Source organism: Homo sapiens, chromosome 17 (genome assembly GCF_000001405.40).
Source record: "Homo sapiens chromosome 17, GRCh38.p14 Primary Assembly".
Lineage (NCBI taxonomy): Eukaryota > Metazoa > Chordata > Mammalia > Primates > Hominidae > Homo > Homo sapiens.
The window spans coordinates 856914-877090 of record NC_000017.11 but is presented as its reverse complement, the minus strand read 5'-3'; the positions used below and the strand labels follow the sequence as shown (position 1 = coordinate 877090).

General features: G+C 48.9%; 1 protein-coding gene across 6 annotated transcripts in view, besides 1 other annotated feature; it reads left to right on the top strand.

Annotated features, from left to right (window-relative positions):
- Window positions 1-20177, top strand: part of NXN (nucleoredoxin) — a 180467-nt gene that overhangs the window by 102686 nt on the left and 57604 nt on the right. For 2 of the 6 annotated variants that reach the window (XM_047436532.1, NM_001205319.1), the window contains exon 1: window positions 12980-13076. The exons of the other annotated variants lie outside the window; for them this stretch is intronic. In XM_047436532.1, the coding sequence (XP_047292488.1) occupies window positions 13041-13076 (36 nt within the window). In that variant the 5' untranslated portion in view covers window positions 12980-13040. Of the gene's footprint in view, window positions 1-12979; window positions 13077-20177 lie in introns of those variants that run through there. 6 annotated transcript variants of the gene reach the window in all.
- Window positions 5595-6422: an enhancer, noted in NCBI's record as "H3K4me1 hESC enhancer chr17:773909-774736 (GRCh37/hg19 assembly coordinates)". NCBI's record gives its function as "activates a minimal SCP1, AML or CMV promoter by ChIP-STARR-seq in naive H9 embryonic stem cells {active_cell/tissue: H9 hESC(naive)}" and the evidence as "EXISTENCE:reporter gene assay evidence [ECO:0000049][PMID:30033119]".

Below are 20177 nucleotides of genomic sequence, written 5' to 3'. Positions count from 1 at the left end.
TGTTTGTTTTCGAGACAGAGTTTCACTCTGTCACCCAGGCTGGAGTGCAGTGGTGCAATCTCAGCTCACTGCAACCTCTGCCTACTGGGTTTAAGTGATTCTCCTGCCTCAGCCTCCCGAGTTCACACCATTCTCCTGCCTCAGCTTCCTGAGTAGCTCGGATTACAGGCGACCGCCACCATACCCGGCTAATTTTTTGTGTTTTTAGTAGAGACGGGGTTTCACTGTGTTGGCCAGGCTGGTCTCGAACTCCCGACCTCAGGTGATCCCCCCGCCCCCGCAGCCTCCCAAAGTGCTGGGATTCCAGGCGTGAGCCCCCGCGCCCGGCCAAGAGTTAATTTTGATGACATAGAATGTGCTGGGAGCTGGTGCCCCAAAGGGAACCACAAGGAGTTTCCCGTATAAATGAGGAATGAAGATGGTATTCTAGTGTGAAAGTAATTATCAGCGAACGACACTAACAGCGCTGTTGAGCTCCCCGCCCAGTGAGACTGATTCCTGGGCTTAAGAGAGAATCTCAGAGTACATAACTCTTACTTCCTACTCTCCAGGTGCTTTCTTCATTGATGGGGAGACGTACATGAAACACGCTTAGAGCAAAGGACGCCTAGCGTGTTCTAAATGACCACAATAGGGGATGTGGTCATGAGCCGGATTGGGAGTCCTGTACGTCGTAGCCTGTGTTGACTTCCTTGAGCACCGTTGTTCTTAAGTCCCTCTGTCACCTGAAATTTCAATAGCTTTTTTGACAACATGTGAGATTGAGTGTCTTAGTATTCACTTTGGGAGCCTGCCTTTTTTTCTGGGCACCTGCATTTCCTTTCTTTTCTTTTCTTTTCTTCTCTTCTCTTCTCCTTTCTTTCTTTCTTTCTCTTTTCTTTTCTTTCTTTTCTTTTTTTTCTTTCTTTTCTGATGGATTCTTACTGTGTCGCCCAGGCTGGAGTGCAGTGGCACGGTCTTGGCACGCTGCAACCTCCACCCCCCCAGGTTCAAGCGATTCTCCAGCCTCAGCCTCCCAGGTACCTGGGATTACAGGTGCACGCCACCACGCCCGGCTAATTTTATATTTTTAGTAGAGACGGGGTTTCACCCTGATAGCCAGGATGGTCTTGATCTCCTGACCTCATGACCCGCCCACCTTGGCTTCCCAAAGTGCTGGGATCACAGGCATGAGCCACTGTGCCCGGCCTAAAAAGCTTTTGAAAGTAGCCAACACCTGTACTCCCAGCACTTTGGGAGGCCGGGGCAGGAGGATAGCTTGAAGCCAGGAGCTTGAGACCCCCTGAGCAACAAAATGAGACCGGGTTCTACAATTTTTTTTTTTTTTTTAATTTACCAGGCATGGTCACATGTGCCTGTAATCCCAGCTACTTGGGAGGCTGAGGTGGTAGGATCACTTGAGCCCAGGGAGTTGGAGGCTGCAGTGAGCTATGATTGCACCACCGTACTCCAGCCTGGGCAACAGAGCAGAATCTTAAAACAAAAACAAAAACACCACAACCAAAACAACAAAAAAACCCTATTTCATTTCACACTAGTCTGATTCGATCTTCTGCTCTTAAGTGTGTAGTGAGGCAAATTAAGACTTTTGAGATAAGAGACCCAGGTTTGAATTCTCTCTGATTTATGATTCAGTGATTTAACCAGGCAGCCTTCAGTGAGTGGCTTATCTCTATGAGTCTGTTTGCTGATCTGCTCAATGGGGTTGTTGATAATAGTATAGAAGATTCTGTTGTGAGGATTAAAAGAGGTAGTATAGCACCCGGCATGGTGGCTGACGCCTGTAATCCCAGTAGGTTGGGAGCCTGAGATGGGAGGATCACCTGAGGTCAGGAGTTCAAGACCAGCCTGGCCAACATGGTGAAACCCTGTCTCTGTTAAACACACAAAAGTTAGCCAGGCATGGTGGCGTGCGCCTGTAATCCCAGCTACCCCAGAGGCCGAGGCACAAGAATCACTTGAACCCGGGAGGCGGAGGTTGCAGTGAGCTGAGATTGTGCCACTGCGCTCCAGCCTGGGTGACAGAGTAAGACTCTGTCTCAGAAAAAAAAAAAAGAAAAAAGGTAGTATATATAAAGCAGTGTTTTATGGTGCTTGACACAAAGTGCTTCACCAATGGTAAATGGTGTTCTATAATTGCACTGTTGATATGTTTCTTTGAAATTGTTCTTTTCTGTAGTCATTTTTGTCTTTTGCGCCAGTAATTTATTTATTCACCTGTAACAGATTCTGGTTTTCTCATGGAGGAGTGTGCAGTAGTGACTGGCTGCCTTTGTGATCCAGGCTTGTGCCTGGGAGCTGCATTAGTCTGTTCTCCCATTGCTGTAAGGACATAACAAGACTGGGTAATTGTTTATTTATTATTTGAGACAGAGTCTCGCTCTGTCACCCAGGCTACAGTGCAGTGGCATGATTGTGATCCAGGCTTGTGCCTGGGAGCTGCATTAGTCTGTTCTCCCATTGCTGTAAGGACATAACAAGACTGGGTAATTGTTTATTTATTATTTGAGACAGAGTCTCGCTCTGTCACCCAGGCTACAGTGCAGTGGCATGATCTCGGCTCACCGCAGCCTCTGCCTCTCGGGTTCAAGCGATTCTCCTGTGTCAGCCTCCCGAGTAGCTGGGATGACAGGTGCCTGCCACCACGCCCGGCTAATTTTTTTATTTTTAGCAGAGGTGGGGTTTCACCATTTTGGCCAGGCTGGTCTCAAACTCCTGACCTCATGATCCACCTCGGCCTCCCAAAGTGCTGGGATTACAGGCGTGAGCCACCGTGCCCGGCTGAGACTGGGTAATTTATAAAGGAAAGAGGTTTAACTGACTCACAGTTTCACAGGGCTGGGGAGGCCTCGGGAAACTTACAATCATGGGGGAAAGGGAAGCAAACACATCCTTCTTCACATGGTGGCAGGAAGGAGAAGGATGAGCAGAAGGGGGACGAGTCCCTTATAAAACCGTCAGGCCTTGTGAGAACTCACTCACTATCATGAGAACAGCAGGAGGGTTACTGCTCCCATGATTCAATGACCATCCACCAGGTCCCTCCCACTACATGTGGGATTATGGGGACTAGAATTCAAGATGAGATTTGGGTGGGTACACAGCCAAACCATGTCAGGAGTGGGCGGCTCAGATGCTGGAAAAAGACCATGATTCTGTCTTGAGCAGCTGATGTTGGAGAAATGGAGGAAGCTGAGACGTGATCATCCTCACCAGAACCCGTGTGTTTCCCCCACTCCCTCACTCACTGTCCTATGTAATTAATGAACTGCTCCTCTTTCCCCCCAGGGAAATGGTTTAAATTAAGGCATAAACATTTTTCCTTAATAAACTGTAGGAGGATATATTTTTTTCATAGGTCTGAGAAGGCCGTTTCCTACCAACCCATTGATATTATCATTATTTATATGCACAAAGCTTCCAGAACTTCACTTTGCCAGACTTTCTAGCTAAGGAGGTCTCAAGAAGATGCTAAAAGAAGCTTCCAGTAAGAAGTTGATATTCACGTTGTATATTCTCAAAGGTCTCTCTGTGACTAGCAAAATATAAGTACAGAAGTACAGAAGGAGACGGAGACTCCTTTTTTTTTTTTTTTTTGGAGACAGTGTCTCTGTCTCCCAGGTTGGAGTACAGTGGTGCGATCTCAGCTCACTGCAACCTCCGTCTCCTGGGTTCAAGCAATTCTCCTGTCTCAGCCTCCCAGGTAGCTGGGATTACAGGCACCCCCCACCACACCTGGCTAATTTTTGTATTTATAGTAGAGATGGGGTTTCATCGTGTTGGCCAGGCTGGTCTCGAACTCCTGATCTCAAGTGATCCACCCTCCTCGGCCTCCCACAGTGCTGGGATTACAGGCGTGAGCCACCCACCTGGCTGAAAGAGATTTCTTATAAAGGATTGGCACACATGGTTATAGAAGCTAAGAAGCCCCAAGAGCTGCAGTTGGCAAGCTGGAGACCCAGGAGAACTGATGGTGTAAGTTCCCGCCAAGTCTGAAGGCAGAGGAAGACGGGTGTCCCAGCTGGAAGACAGTCAGAGAGAATTCTCCCTGTCAGCAGTTTTTTCTATTTAGTTTTTTCTCCTTAGACTTCAGTGGGTTGGATGAGGCCCACCCACACTGGGGAGAGCAGTCTGCTTTATATTCCGAGTCTGCTGATTCAAATGTTGATCTCAGCTGGGTGTGGTGGCTCACACCTGTCATCCCAACACTGGGAGGCCAAGGCGGGTGGATCACCTGAGGTCAGGAGTTCAAGACCAGCCTGGCCAACATGGCAAAAACCCGTCTCTACTAAAAATACAAAAATTAGCTGGACGTGGTGGCAGGCGCCTGTAATCCCAGCTACTTGGGAGGTTGAGGCAGGAGACTCGCTTGAGGCCAGGAGGCAGAGGTTGCAGTGAGCTGAGATTGCACCATCACACTCCAGTCTGGGCAACAAGAGGGAAACTCCGTCTCAAAAAAAAAAAAAAAAAAAAAAAAGATCTCACCCGGAAACATAGTCACAGACACACTCAGGATCATGTTTAATCAAATATCAGGGTACCCTCTAGCTCACTCATGTTGGCACTGAAGATTAAACACCATAGGCTGGTGTTTCCTCAAACACACTCTCTCTCCTTGCCTTTGATTGATGTGTTTCTCTCTTTCTCTCCTTGTCTTTGATTGACGTGTTCCTCTGTCTCCTTGTCGTTGATGTGTTTCTCTCTCTCTCTCCCTCCTTGTCTTTGATTGACATGTTCCTCTGTCTCTCTCCTTGTCTTTGATGTTTCTCTCTCTCTCTCTCTCCTAGTCTTTGATTGACGTGTTCCTCTGTCTCTCTCCTTGTCTTTGATGTGTTCCTCCCTCCCTCCCTCCGTCTCTCTCTCTCTCCCTCTCTCCCCCTCTCTCCCTCCCTCCCTCTCCTCTTGTCTTTGATTCACGGGTTCAGCATCGTGGCCTCTGAGCATTCGGCAGCTTGGCAGAAAGGCCAGGACTCAGTGCAGGAACTCTCCATCATCCCTGGTTCTTCCATTTATGGCTTCAGGCCCTTCTTCCTCATCCTGTTTTAGAATCACAGTCCTCAACTTTTTCATTTTTTATTTTTATTTTTGCCACAGCACACATGGTGTCTGAAATTCCACACATAACATACTTCTCTGGGTTTGTCCAAATTTTGATAATTCCTCCCCCAATCCCTCACCCCCGAGTTTCCCAGGAAATAAAGCAAATAGCACTGCAGATGCTTGGTGATATGTGGTTCATAAAAGCATTTTGCAAGCTTGCGGGTAACTGTTAGGTGTTCATCAGTAACACAGCAGAGCTGGATCAGGGCTGGATAACACATGCCATTCCCAATTAGCTAGTGTAACATCAACATTTTCCATTCAGGGAAACTTATCAAAAGCAAATGCAGCTGGGCGCGGTGGCTCATGCCTGTACCCAGCACTTTGGGAGGCTGAGGCAGGTGGATCACCTGAGGTCAGGAGTTCGAGACCAGCCTGGCCAACATGGTGAAACCCCGTCTCTACTAAAACTACAAAAATTAGCTGGGCATGGTGGCACGTACCTGTAATCCCAGCTACTCGGGAGGCTGAGGCAGGAGAATCATTTGAACCCGGGAGGTGGAGGTTGCTGTGAGCTGAGATCGTGCTGCTGCACTCCAGCCTGGGGGACACGATGAGAATCCATCTCAAAAAAAAAAAAAAAAAAAAAAAGTGAATGCGTATGCTGCGATTTATCACTGGAAAACAGACCATTTACTAACTTCACTAAGTGATATTAGGAATCAATTACTTGTTGGCCTCATCATTGAGGTCACCACAGTGACCAGGTTCTAACCCTGGAGCTTCGGGGTGCCTGGGAGGTTGTATGTACACTCCCTTAGTTCATGGTGGCTGCCAATGTGGCTCCAGAATGAGAGCTGCGAAGATCACCGTGCTTAAAATAAAAGCATAGCCGGGCACGGTGGCTCACGCCTGTAATCCCAGCACTTTGGGAGGCCGAGGTGGGCGGATCACGAGGTCAGGAGATCGAGACCATCCTGGCCAACACAGTGAAACCCCGTCTCTACTAAAAATACAAAAAAAATTTAGCTGGGCGTGATGGCGGGCGCCTGTAGTCCGAGCTACTCGGGAGGCTGAGGCAGGAGAATGGTGTGAACCCGGGAGGCGGAGCTTGTAGTGAACTGAGATCGCACCACTGCACTCCAGCCTGGGCGACAGAGTGAGACTCTGTCTCAAAAATAAATAAATAAATAAATAAATAAAAGCATGTAGCACCAGAAGTGTGAGAGATTCCAAACCATTTGCTCAGAAAGAAAGACTGGGTGGGGTGGATAAGATTCTTTTTTTTTTTTTTTCCAGACAGAGTCTCACTCTGTTGCCCAGGCTTGAATACAGTAGCACAATCGGGGCTCACTGGCACCTCCGCCTTCCAGGCTTAACCAGTCCTCCCACCTCAGCCTCTCAAGTGGCTGGGACTACAGGCACGGGACACCACACCTGGCTAATTATTTGTATTATTACTTTTTTTTTTGTAGAGACAGGGTGTCAGTATATTGTCCAGGCTGGTCTCGAACTCCTGGACTCAAACAATCCTCCCTCCTTGGCCTCCCAAGGTGCTAGGATTACAGGCCTGAGCCACTGAACTCAGCCAGGATTTTTCATTCAACCTGGCCCTTCCCATCCTGTGATGCTCCCTTAGGCCGCCTCACTCTGATCACGTGATAACAGTGAGACAATTCAGGCTCATGAATCACCCACGTCCCACGGTACCTTCAAGGTGCTTGCCCCGTTAGTAACACTCACAGAACCGGAATCTTTCTGGATGAACTTTCCCTTTGCTTCTCTAATCCACGTCCTGCATTCCTGGGCTGGAGAACTGGAATCAGAAAGTGACTGGGGGCCAAATGGAGACTGGAATAATCCCAGGAGAGGCTTGGTGTGGGGTTTCTTGGCCCTGCTGACGTTCTGAGCCAGGTACTTCTTTGCTGTGGGAGGAGCTGTCCTGCGCCTGGTAGAACGTGGACAGCATCCTGGCTTCTACCTACTGTGTCAGTAACACTCCACCCCGCAATGTGACAGCCAGGAACGTTCCCAGGCATTGCTAAATGGCCCGTGGGAAGCACAACCACCCCCCGGTTGAAAACTGCCGGCTTAAGGCAAGCACCAAGCGCCTGGCACCATCCTTTCCTTCCTAAGTACGAGAGCTCTCGCACGCCACCTTTTACTCTGGGCAGCAGGTCAGCGGTTCTTAACCGAGATCAGAGGCAAAGAACTGGTTCCCAGAGAGGCTTGGAGGAGAATTGGCAGGACGTAGCTGTTAACTGTCCGTGGAACACGAACGAGCAGAGGAAGTGAAAAAGAGCGTCAAGATTTTATGACTGACCACGTCCGCCTTCCCTCCTCACTCATTTCTCCAGGGAACTTACAGAACTGGGCTCTGTAATAAGGAGTCTTTCCCGAGTGGGGAGGGCTCCCTGAGTGATTTCATTGAAACCTACATATGTCAGCGATTCTTACAGTATCTTTCTAAAGTATTTAAATGCTGCAGAAATAATACTTAAAGTATGTGGATGTGAACAGGGACACAGGAGCTTTTGCCAATATGGTCCTGTTTGCAGCTCAGGAGCTTTAGAGACCTTCCTTCTTCCACCTCGTAATCTGTGTAGGTTCCTAACCCTGTTGGTCGGAGCAGAGATGTGTCAGGCAGCCCCCCTGGAACCTCAGGTCGCTTGTCGGGGCTCCTGGATCAGAGAGCATGAGCTGGTGCCTGGTGAGTCAGAAGCTGGATCACTCTTGGGTTGGTGTCAGCAGCCAGTTCTGGACGGCCCTCTTAAGCCGTGCTGGCCTTTCGTTCTGGCCTTTGATGTAACCCAGGGTGTGTAAGGGCTGCCTGCCCTTTACAGAGAAACAGATCTGTGCTGGGAAGTTAACAAACAGGAGGCAGGATGTGAGATGAGAGAGAAGGAACTGTCTGGTCAGTGGGGTTCACCCAAGTCTAGAGGTTCATCTGTGTGGAGGGTGGGACTTAATATAAGGCAGGAGGCTTGGGTAGAATCTGCCCCAGCCACCACCTGGCGTCTGCAGTGATAGAAAGCCTGGGAGACCTTCCACCCGGGGCCCTGGGAAGCTCCAACACTCAGCCTCCGTGTTTTCTGTGTCTTTCTCTGGCTGCAGGGATTTCCGAGGTTTCCTTTTTGTGCATCTGGACATTTTCCTTTCTCTGCTCATTTACTTATCCTACAAACACAGGCGGGATGGTGGGCCCGGCCCAGGGTCGGTGCTGGCACTGGGGTGATCACGATGTAGAGAAGGTAGTTTCGACCGGGTGCGGTGGCTCACGCCTGTCATCCCAGCACTTTGGGAGGCCGAGGCGGGCGGATCACGAGGTCAGGAAATCGAGACCATCCTGGCTAACGTGGTGAAACCCCGTCTCTACTAAAAATACAAAAAAATGATCCGGGCGTGGTGGTGGGCGCCTGTTGTCCCAGCTACTCGGGAGGCTGAGGGAGGAGAATGGCGTGAACCCGGGAGGCGGAGGTTGCAGTAAGCAGAGATCGCATCACTGCACTCCAGCCTGGGCGACAGAGCGAGACTCCGTCTCAAAAACAAACAAACAAACAAACAAAAAACCAAAAAAAAAACAAAAAAAGACAAGGTAGTTTCTGTGCTTGGGGAGCGCGAAGGCGTTAAGTCTGCGGGTGAGAGCCGAGGAGGAGCTCCCTCACCCTGCTGGCTGGATGAGAGTTCGAGGGAGATACGGTCAGGGAGTTTCCCAGTGATTCTCATCAAGGAGCTGGAGTCAGGTAAACATTGCTGGGAAGGGTGGCTGGGATAGAGGGAATCCCACGTGTGAAGGCTGGAGGAGAGGGGAATTCCGGGGAAGGGTGGATCGGATAGAGGGAATCCCATGTGTGAAGGACAGAGGAGAGGTGAGTTCTGGGGAATGGTTCCCAGGGAAGCAGCCTGAAGAATGAAGGGAGGGAGATGACTCTGGAACTCTTGCCAGTGTCCAGCTAGGAGATGACCCATGGGACGCCGTACAGGCTCTGCTGGAGCACAACACATGTCCCTGCTGTGTCCCCGGAATAGGTCATGCTCCTGTCACTCTGAAGGTCATTAGTAACAAGGCAGAACAACCACACAGGACCCCCACTTACATCTGAACAGCTTCTGCACACTCTTTGCAAGGTACATTTAAGACTTTTTTTTTTTTTTGAGTTGGAGTCTCATTCTGTCGGCTTACTGCAGCCTCCACCTCCTGGGTTCAAGCGATTCTCATGCCTCAGCCTCCCGAGTAGCTGCGATTACAGCCTCCCGCCACCACACCTGGCTAATTTTTGTATTTTTAGTAGAGATGGGGTCTTGCCATGTTGGCCAGGCTGGTCTCGAACTCCTGACCTCAGGTGTTCCACCTGCCTTGGCCTCCCAAAGTGCTGGGATTACAGGGAAGAGCCACCACGCTGGCCTGTTTAGACTTTTCAATCTTCCACGTGTTAAACTGTCTATTTTTCTCTTATTAACCACAAGTTTGGGATTCTTCAGAGGCCAAACTACTGTTCTCCCAGGCTTTGAGAAAAAACTTTTCGTGTCATTTAGCTACATAGTTTTGCTGAACTTCTCCTTCAACAACAGGAAAGCATATGTTGGTAGCTGGGCAAGCCCTACTCTGAGCATAATCTTAAGGGACTGGCAAGAATTCCCTGGAGAACCCCGAGAACTTGCTGACCATGCTGGAGAATTCCCCGGAGAACCCCGAGAACTTGCTGACCAAGCTGGAGGATTCCCCGGAGAACCCCGAGAACTTGCTGACCATGCTGGAGGATTCCCCGGAGAACCCCGAGAACTTGCTGACCAAGCTGGAGGATTCCCCGGAGAACCCCGAGAACTTGCTGACCAAGCTGGAGGATTCCCCGGAGAACCCCGAGAACTTGCTGACCATGCTGGAGGATTCCCCGGAGAACCCCGAGAACTTGCTGACCAAGCTGGAGGATTCCCCGGAGAACCCCGAGAACTTGCTGACCAAGCTGGAGGATTCCCCGGAGAACCCCGAGAACTTGCTGACCAAGCTGGAGGATTCCCCGGAGAACCCCGAGAACTTGCTGACCAAGCTGGAGAATTCCCCGGAGAACCCCGAGAACTTGCTGACCAAGCTGGCATCAGTTTTCTTTCCTGGGAACTGTTTCCACTCACATGTTCTGACCCGCAGCCTGAGGCTGGCACCAGCTGAGGGTTTGCAGTATTTGAATGTTGGCCTTGCCCTGACCCATGCTCAAATCATTTGTTTCACTAAGAATATGTATTTTCAGATCACAAACCAGATTAGTCCACATCTAGCAGTTTAATTGCTGATTCAGTTAAAAAGTCCTTGCTTGATAGGGTCTGGGCTGAAATTGAACAACGTTAGAGGCTGCCAGGACTTTTTCTTTCTTTATAAAAGCAGAACTCCATGCACGTACTTAAAACAGGTACATGGTACTGAAGGGTGTTACTGAGGTACAACTCCTCACCTATCCTCTCTCTTAAGGTTCATTTATCTATTTATTGAGATGGGGTCTCTGTCGCCCAGGCTGGAGGGCAATGACGCGATCTCAGCTCACTGCATGCTCCGCCTCCTGGGTACAAGGGTTCTCCTGCCTCAGCCTCCCGAGTACCTGAGACTACAGGCGCCCGCCACCAACTTTTGTATTTTTTGTAGAGACAGCGTTTCACCATGTTGCCCAGGCTGATCTTGAACTCTTCAGTGCAGGTGATCCTCCTGCCTCGGCCTCTCAAAGTGCTGGTATTACAGGTGTGAGCCACTGCGCCCAGCCTTAAGTTTCTTATATACATCCTTCTGAAATATCTTCTGTGCATTTATACATGTATGTGACGGGTATTGTCTGTTCTATTTACAAAAGAAACGTCTGATTTAAAAAAAAAAATCTAATATCTTGCCAGTCTCTTCCTATCGGCATAGCCGACCTGCTTTAATTGTTGCAATAACAGCATTGTATTCTATTGAATATATAGAGCGTAATTTACTTGCCCACTGCCTGATAAATGGATATTTCACTCCTTCCTTCTCCTTTTGCTGTAGCAAATAATACTATGATAAACATTGTCGCACACACTTTTTTTTCTTTTTTTTTGAGATAGAGTCTTGCTCTGTCGCCCAGGCTGGAGTGCAATGCCGCGATCTTAGCTCACTGCAACCTCCACCTCCCGGGTTCAAGCGATTCTCCTGCCTCAGCCTCCTGAGTAGCTGGGATTACAGGCATGTGCTACCACGCTCGGCTAATTTTGTATTTTTAGTAGAGATGGGGTTTCTCCATGTTGGTCAGGCTGGTCTCGAACTCCTGACCTCAAGTGATCTGCCCACCTCGGCCTCCCAAAGTGCTGGGATTACAGGCGTGAGCCACTGCGCCCAGCAACATTGTTGCACATCTATCTCTGCACACTTCACACATGCATATCTGTGAATTGGAATTGCTAAGCCAAAGAATAATGGACATTATTGACTTCTGTAGACATTGCCAAGGTCCTTCTTGGAGGGGAGAGACTGTCATTGCTTTATAGAAAATGTGTAACTCGGCCGGGCGTGGTGGCTCATGCCTGTAATACCAGCACTGTGGGAGGCCGAGGTGGGCGGATCACCTGAGGTCATGAGTTCGAGACCAGCCTGACCAACATGGAGAAACTCCGTCTCTCCTAAAAATACAAAATCAGCCGGGCGTGGTGGTGCATGCCTGTAATCCCAGCTATGCAGGAGGCTGAGGCAGGAGAATCACTTGAATCCAGGAGGCAGAGGTTGCGGTGAGCCAAGATCGTGCCATTGCACTCCAGCCTGGGTGACAGAGGGAGACTCTGTCTCAAAAAAAAAAGTGTAACTCCAGCTTTTGTCAGCCAGCCTGTAATACCAATAGTTTCCCTTGCCCAGAAAACATTGCTACCTAATACAGAGGATATCACCCAATGCGCTTCCACTGAAGGAGCACAGGGAGGGGAGATGGACAATATCGAGCGAGAAAGATGACTTCTGGGAGTTGTGCTTTTCTCCTCTGTTCAATCAGTGTGGACGAGATGATCTGTTTAGTCCCATCTCCTGATTTTACATAAACCAGGCGTGGTTCTAGTTCCGAGATCCAGGAGCCTGACTGCCAGGACAGCTTAAGCAGGAGGTAAATTCTAGAATCTGCCCTTTAGTTTCTGGATTCTTTATCTTTTCATCCGTGTTGAATGAGAGAGAAGGGTTCAGGGCATCTGGCCCTTCCTTGGGCAGCAGACTGACAGAACACCGCCTGGGTTGCCTCCGTTTTCAGGAGATTTGCAGCAGCTTCCTTAACTTTACCCACCTCTGCCCCTTTAATGCCAAACACATTCCTTAGAGGTCCGTTAATTAGAGGAGCCTCAGAGTGAGCAGTGGGGTCATGATGGTTTCTCTTATAATCAGGTTGGAAAGGATCTCAGGGTGAGTCTGGTAAAAAGCCTTCTGAAATGTTAGACCAGAGAATTATCTGGAGAGGGAGGAAATGCAGGGCAAGTTCCTGCAAAGCCTCACACTCATGTTGGTCTCACCGATGTTTATCAGGGAGAAACAGCCTGTACTCCCAGGGCAGCCGTTTGAACGGGCAGAGCCCACTTTGTTCCTCGATTCTGTTTCTTTCCATGCAATCCGCCCTCCTGACCTAATACCGTTGAGGCTGGTGTCTTGTCCCATGGGACATGGAACTAGGGAACACAGATGGATCTAAGCTAGCACTCCCCTACGTTTTGGCAAATTTAAGAATCAACACTCTGAAGAACCGTGGTTTTGATTCCCTGAGAAGGAAATGGATTAAGACTTACTCTCCCTACTCCGAACTTTTTATCTTGGGAAATTTCAGACCTACAGAAAAGTTGAAGACAAGTACCATGAATGCCCATCCTGTGCCCTTCACCGGAACCGAGCAACGGCAGACGCGTCCCTTCACCGGAACCGAGCAACGGTGAACGTGCCCCTTCACCGGAAGTGAGCAACGGTAAACGTGCCCCTTCACCGGAACCGAGCAACGGTAACTGTGCCCCTTCACCGGAACCGAGCAATGGCAGACGTGTCCCTTCACCGGAACCCAGCAACGGTAACTGTGTCCTTTCACCGAAACTGAGCAATGGTTAACGTGTTTCCTCACTCAGTTCCCAGGCATTGCTGCTGCTGATCTGGGGAACACACTGTATGAGCCTGACATAAACCTCTACAGAGCTCTGTGTAAGCAGTGGGTATGTTTTTTCCCTGAAGGACAGTTGATCCTTGAATGACGTGGATTTGAATTGCAAGGGTCCATTTGTATGTGGACTTTTTTCAACCAGATGTGAATCAAAAATACAGTGTCAGCCAGGTGCAGAGGCTCACACCTGTAATCCCACCACTATGGGAGGTTGAGGCAGGAGGATTGCATCAGCCCAGGAGTTCAAGACCAGCGTGGGCAACATAGAGAGACCCCCATCTCTACAAATAATATTAAAAATTATCTGGGCATGGAGGCATGCTCCTGTGGTCCCAGCTACTCAGGAGGCTGAGTCAGGAGGATCGCTTGAGCCAGGGAGGTTGAGGCGGCAGTGAGATGTGATTGTACCACTGCTCTCCAGCCTGGGGGACAGAGCGAGACCCTGTCTCAAAACAAAACACGGCTGAGCGTGGTGGCTCACACCTGTAATCCCAGCACTTCGGGAGGCTGAGGCGGGCTGATCATGAGGTCAGGAGATCGAGACCATCCTGGCTCACACGGTGAAACCCCGTCTCTACTAAAAATACAAAAAATTAGCTGGGCGTGGTGGCGGGCACCTGTAGTTCCAGCTACTCAGGAGGCTGAGGTAGGAGAATCACTTGAACCCAGGTGGAGGTTGCAGTGAGCTGAGATCGCGCCACTGCACTCCAGCCCAGGTGACAGAGTGAGACTCTGTCTCAAAAAAACAAAGAAGACAGAACAGTATTCGCAGGATGTGAAACCCATGTATGCAGAGGCTGGTTTTTCCTACACTCAGGCTCTGCTGGGCTGATTGTGGGACTTCAGTATATGCGGATTTTGGAATATGTGGGGGTCCCAGAACCAATCCCCTGAGTATACTGTGGGGCATTTGAAAATAGATTATATTTATCATGATATTTCATTCCTAAACCTTCATTATCTCCTAAAAACAAGGGTGTTCTCTTCCTAGCAATAATACCGTTATCATACCCAAGAAATGTAGCATTGATACGTTTAGAGCATAGGTCTGTTGTCTTGCAGAATTTTCCAGAGTCTGAATTTGTCAAATGGTTCCCTCGTGATTACATCCAGGCCAAACATTTCTGGCAGGAATGCCGCAGAGCTCCTGTTGCATCTCACCAGGAGCCACATCATAGTTCCGTCCTGTTATTGATGATGCTGAGGTTAAACATTTGGTTGAGCTAATGTCTGCCAGATCACTCTACTTTGTAAAGGTAGTTTCTCCTTTGTAACTAACGAGCAGTAAGTGGTGTGATACTTTAGGACCGTAGGAATGTTCTCCTCCCAGTAACTTGTTACCCAGTGGCTTCACATCCACTGATATGTGATGATTCTTTCATGAATCTGTTTTATTTGTTTTAAGAGACAGGGTCTTGCCCCATCACCCAGGCTGGGTTGCAGTGGCAGAATCATAGCTCGCTGTAGCCTCTAACTCCTGGATTCAAGCGATCCTCCCTCCTCAGCCTCCTGAGTAGCTGGGACTACAGGCATGGGCCACCACACCCACCTAAGTTTTATTTTTATGTTTATGTTTTTGAGATGGGGTCTTACTATGTTGCCGAAGCTGATCCCGAATTCCTGGTCTCAAGGGAGCCTCCCACCCTGGCCTCCCAAAGCTCTGGGATTACAGGTGTGAGCCACCGTGCCTGGCCTCCTGAATCTGTTTCTACATTGATTATTGCAGAATCCTGGGCTTTAAATTGTCACTCCTTCTACATTTATTACCTCACATTCCTTTATGAAGAGCCCCTCATTGGCTGAACACGGTGGCTCACGCCTGTAATCCCAGCACTTTGGGAGACTGAGGCTGGTAGATCGCTTGAGCTCAGGAGTTCGAGACCAGCCTGGGAAACGTGGTGAAACCCCGTCTCCATCAAAAATACAAAACATTAGCCAAGTATGGTGGTTCATGCCTGTAATCCCAGCTACTTGGGAGGCTGAGGTGAGAGGATTGCTTGAGCCCAGGAGACAGAGGTTGCAGTGAGCTGAGATCATGCCACTGCACTCCAGCCTGGGCGACAGAGCAAGACTGTCTCAATTTAAAAGAAAAAACAAAAAAAGAGCCCCTCATGTTCTTCCACTCCATTTTTTAGTATCATTTCAGACTCATGGATTAAAAAAAAAAAAATCTATTGCTGTAGCTTATTAAATTCACTATTTTTTACCGTATCCCAAATTTGGTAAGTAGGAGTCTTTTCAAGATGGCTCTTGAGTCTTTTAACATGTTCCCAGCATCGTGTAAGCATTTGCTTGCTTTTCTGGCACTCAGTGAGACGTTCAGGCTCAGCTTGGCCTCTCCCTCCCCTAGTCTTGGAATCAGCTCTTCCTCTGAGAAATCCTCCTTCCCTTTGGTGGAGGGATGGTCCTTAGAAACCAACATCTGGTCATGAAGTGTGTTCCTTGCTGGGCCTCTCACTGCCTCTAGCCACTTTCAATAGAAAGAGCAAAGAATGGTCAGGCGCGGCGGCTCACGCCTGTAATCCCAGCACTGTGGGAGGCCGAGGTGGGCGGATCACCTGAGTTCAGGAGTTCAAGACCAGCCTGGCCAACATGGTGAAACCCCGTCTCTACTAAAAACAGAAAAATTAGCCGAGCATAGTGGCACTTGTTTGTAACCCCAGCTACTCAGGAGGCCGAGCCACACAAATCACTTGAACCCAGGAGGCGGAGGTTGCAGTGAGCCGAGATGGTGCCACTGCATTCCAGCGCAGGCGACAGAGTGAAACTGTGTCTCAAAAAAAAGAAAGAGCTGAGAAATTTAAATGTGTTTTAAAATCTTGAGTTGATACTGATATGTTGCACTCAGAACCAGCTGCCCAGGGCCCTTCCTTACTTCCCCAGTCCGTATCTGTGTTCCTCTCATCCCACTGTGATAACCTTGTTTACAGATTTGCAACATCCGTAATCATGGCCAGCAGTGATCCTAACAAGTCAAGTTCAAACTTTCTTTTCAGTTCTTTTTGTCCTTAGATCACATCCAAGAAAGGAGGAATAGTCAGAGAGCTAGATCCAAAAGTCACTTAAATTATTTGCCTTTTTGTCTAGATAGGTAATAGTTACTATTAGAGTTAGGGTCACATGTTTCTGCTCATATTAAACTTTAGGATTTGCTGTTTGCTCCTACTTTTGACTTGATTTTATTCTTTTAGTAAAAGTAAAATGTTTACGAGGTTCAAAAGTCAAAACTATGCAGGCCGGGCGCGGCGGCTCACGCCTGTCATCCCAGCACTTTGGGAGGCCAAGGTGGGTGGATCACCTGAGGTCAGGAGTTCAAGACCAGCCTGGCCAGGATGGCGAAACCCTGTCTCTATGGAAAATACAAAAATTAGCCGGGCGCGGTGGCTCACGCCTGTCATCCCAGCACTTTGGGAGGCCAAGGTGGGTGGATCACCTGAGGTCAGGAGTTCAAGACCAGCCTGGCCAGGATGGCGAAACCCTGTCTCTATGGAAAATACAAAAATTAGCCGGGCGCGGTGGCTCACGCCTGTCATCCCAGCACTTTGGGAGGCCAAGGTGGGTGGATCACCTGAGGTCAGGAGTTCAAGACCAGCCTGGCCAGGATGGCGAAACCCTGTCTCTATGGAAAATACAAAAATTAGCCGGGCGCGGCGGCACACGCCTGTCATCCCAGCTACTCAGGAGGCTGAGGCAGGAGAATCACTTGAACCCAGGAGGCGGAGGTTGCAGTGAGCTGAGATCAGGTCACTGCCCTCCAACCTAGGCAACAGAGCAAGACTATGTCTTAAATAATAATAATAATAATAATAAATTTTTTAAAGTTAAAAGTATATAACATAATATACAAAGAGAAGGCTCACTTTCACTGCCGGGAGTGAGCGTTTTCCTTAGCTTCTGACTCACCCTTTCCAACTTCCTTACTGCAGAAGTAACCCACACCTCTCTGCCCTGGGCCCTTTGCTTGATGCTTACAAAGGAAGGGTCTGAGATGCTGGTTCTCAGGATCGGCTATGACCAGAGGAGACACATTAGAACAGATTGGAGTTCCTGCTCTTCCCTCTGTTAATTTGCTCGGTTTTGCCTGTTGTTTAGTCACCTATGAAAAGTCAGAGTACCCCGTGGAGGACAGGGAAGGGGTGTCTGGAACGGCCTGAGGGCCAGGCCTTTCAGAGAGAAGGAAGCAGCCTGAGTTTGGTTTGGATGGTCCATTGAATCGCGTTTGATGGGAGTGGAGCTGACTGTGGTGTCCCCAGAGCAGATCTGGGATCCGTGAAACAGGTCGTGACAGAGCAGATCAGTTGTTTCTCTGGCAGGCCCGTCCGTGCAGCTGTTGTTTTGTATTTGAGTAGTTTGCGTTTCCCTTTCCTTTTCATACAAGATTATCTGGTCCTAATCCCCTCCCTCCTGCATAAGGGTTGCTGGGAACCATTTTTTTTTCTTTTGAATAAACGTCTTGGGGAAGTCAACTTTTCACATTTGTTGTTGTTCTTTACTTGACATTAAGGAGCTTTTATAAGCAATTAAAACTAGGAGAAAACCCAAACCAAAAATTTCCCCTAAACTCCCCGTGACCTCAGTCGGAATCGCTCCAGTATTCCTGGTCTTAACTCCTTTGGTGAATTTAGAGAGCGACTCTTTATTCCACTTCCAAACGACCGCTTTGAACTATCGGTCAGCGTGGATAAACACATCTCAGGGAGGGGGCCCATGAAATATGGTTGTGGGCTCAGACTGAGAAGGCCTCATTTTCAAACTAGAGCTGGACGGGAAACTGCATCTGAAAGTATTTCCTGGAATAGCTTGCTCCGTTTCTTGAGTGGCAAGTTTTTTTGGTAAAGATACTCTCCCAGACAGTGGAGGTGCCATGGCCTTCGAACCAGATCCTTCCAATAGTAAATCATGTTGTCAGTTCCTCCTTGGTGGATGGGATCCATTTGTATCATGCCAGAGAGCCTTCAAAGTAGGGTCAAGAAACCCAGAAAATTGGCCCCTGCCTGCTCTTGGCTGGCTATGGGATAGAAAGAGAAGCCTGAGGGCAATCGAGCAAATTAACAGAGTGAGGGAAGAGCAGGAACTCCAATCTGTTCTAACAAGTTTCCTCTGGTCATAGCTGATCCTGAGAACCAGCATCTCAGACCCTTCGTGTGTAAGCCGTAGGGCTGTTTTCTTTTTTTCTTTCTTTCTTTCTTTTTTTTTTTTGAGACGGAGTCTCGCTCTGTCACCCAGGCTGGAGTGCAGTGGCGCGATCTTGTCTCACTGCAACCTCCGCCTCCCAGGTTCACACACAGGCTGCTGTCTCAGCCTCCCCAGCAGCTGGGACTACAGGCGCCCGCCACCATGCCAGGCTAATTTTTTTGTATTTTTAGTAGAGATGGGGTTTCACCGTGTTAGCCAGGATGGTCTCGATCTCCTGACCTCGTGATCTACCAGCCTCAGCCTCCCAAAGTGCTGAGATTACAGGCGTGAGCCACCGCGCCCAGCCTGTAGGGCTGTTTTCTATAGCTCAGCCGTCCAGTATCACCTTTGTGGTTCTTTCATGTCAATACCAGCTATATTACCATTTACTTACATTTTTCTTTAAATATACTCATTTTAAAAATTTAGATTTAGGCTGGACGTGGTGGCTCATGCCTGTAATCCCAGCACTTTGGGAGGCCAAGGCGGGTGGATCCCTGGAACTCAGGAGTTCAAGACCAGCCTGGCCAACATGGCAAAACCTCATCTCTATAGAAAAAATACAAAAATTAGCCGCAACATGGTGAAACGTCGTCTCTACACAAAAATACAAAAGTTAGCCAGGTGTGGTGGTGCATACCTGTGACCCCATTACTCGGGAGGCTGGGGTGGGAGGATCACTTGAGCCTGGGAGGTCGAGGCTGCAGTGAGCCAAGATTGCGCCACTGCACTCCAGCCTGGGGCGACAGAGCGAGACCCCATCTCAAAAAAAAAAAAAAAAGATTTATATCTTTGGTTAAAAAGGAAGATGAGCAGGTGTTAGAGAAACGTTAGTAATTTATTGACATCAAAGCAAGACTCTTCTCTTAAAGTAATTGGAAGGACCGAAAGAAAACTACAAAAGGAATAACCTTCTCACTCTTCTATTCAGTGTTATTTAGTGAGGGATACTCGTGCCACCTAGAGGAGGTCTCTACCAGGTATCGGTGAAGAATTCCACTTAGAGGATGCTTGCCCCCTGCCCTATTTTGATGGCCCTGGTGATATCTGGGATGGTGGTGACCATTGAGAAAGAGAGCTACAGCTTTTATGCTCAGCTTTTTAGAATATTCTTGAAAACTGAAGGTTTCACGGTAGTTTTAGGTATGTCTTAAACAAATCCTTAACTTCAGCTTTAGAATAGTTGGTGTTTAGGCTGGGTGTGGTGTCTCACACCTGTAATCCCAGCACTTTGGGAGCCAAGGCAGGCAGATCATCTGAGGGCAGGAGTTCGAGACCAGCCTGGCCAACATGGCAAAACCCCGTCTCTACTAAAAATACAAAAATGATCTGGGTGTGGTGGTGCGTGCCTGTAGTCCCAGCTACTCGGTAGGCTGAGGCAGGAGAATCCCTTGAGCCCAGGAGGCGGAGGTTCCAGTGAGCTGAGATCACACCATTGCCCTCCAGCCTGGGCGACAGAGCGAGACTCCGTCTCATAAAAAAAAAAGAAAGAAAAAAGAAAAGGTCCAAGACAGACCACGTCCACCATGTGAGGATACAGCAAGAAGGCGCCATCTGTGAGGATCATGCCCTCACCAGACACTGAGTCCACTGGTGCCCTGACTTTCGACTTCCACCCACCACAACTGAGAGAAAGAAACTTTTGTGTTCCTAAGCCACACAGTCTGCACTGTCCTATTGTAGCAGCTTGAATGGATTCAGACAGAAATAAATTGGTACCGAGAAGTGGGGGTGCTGCTGTAACTGATACCTGAAGTGGTGGGAGTAGCTCTGGAACTGGGTGACGTGTAGAAGTCGGAAGAGTTTTGAGGTTCATGATGGAAAAGGCCTACGTTGCCC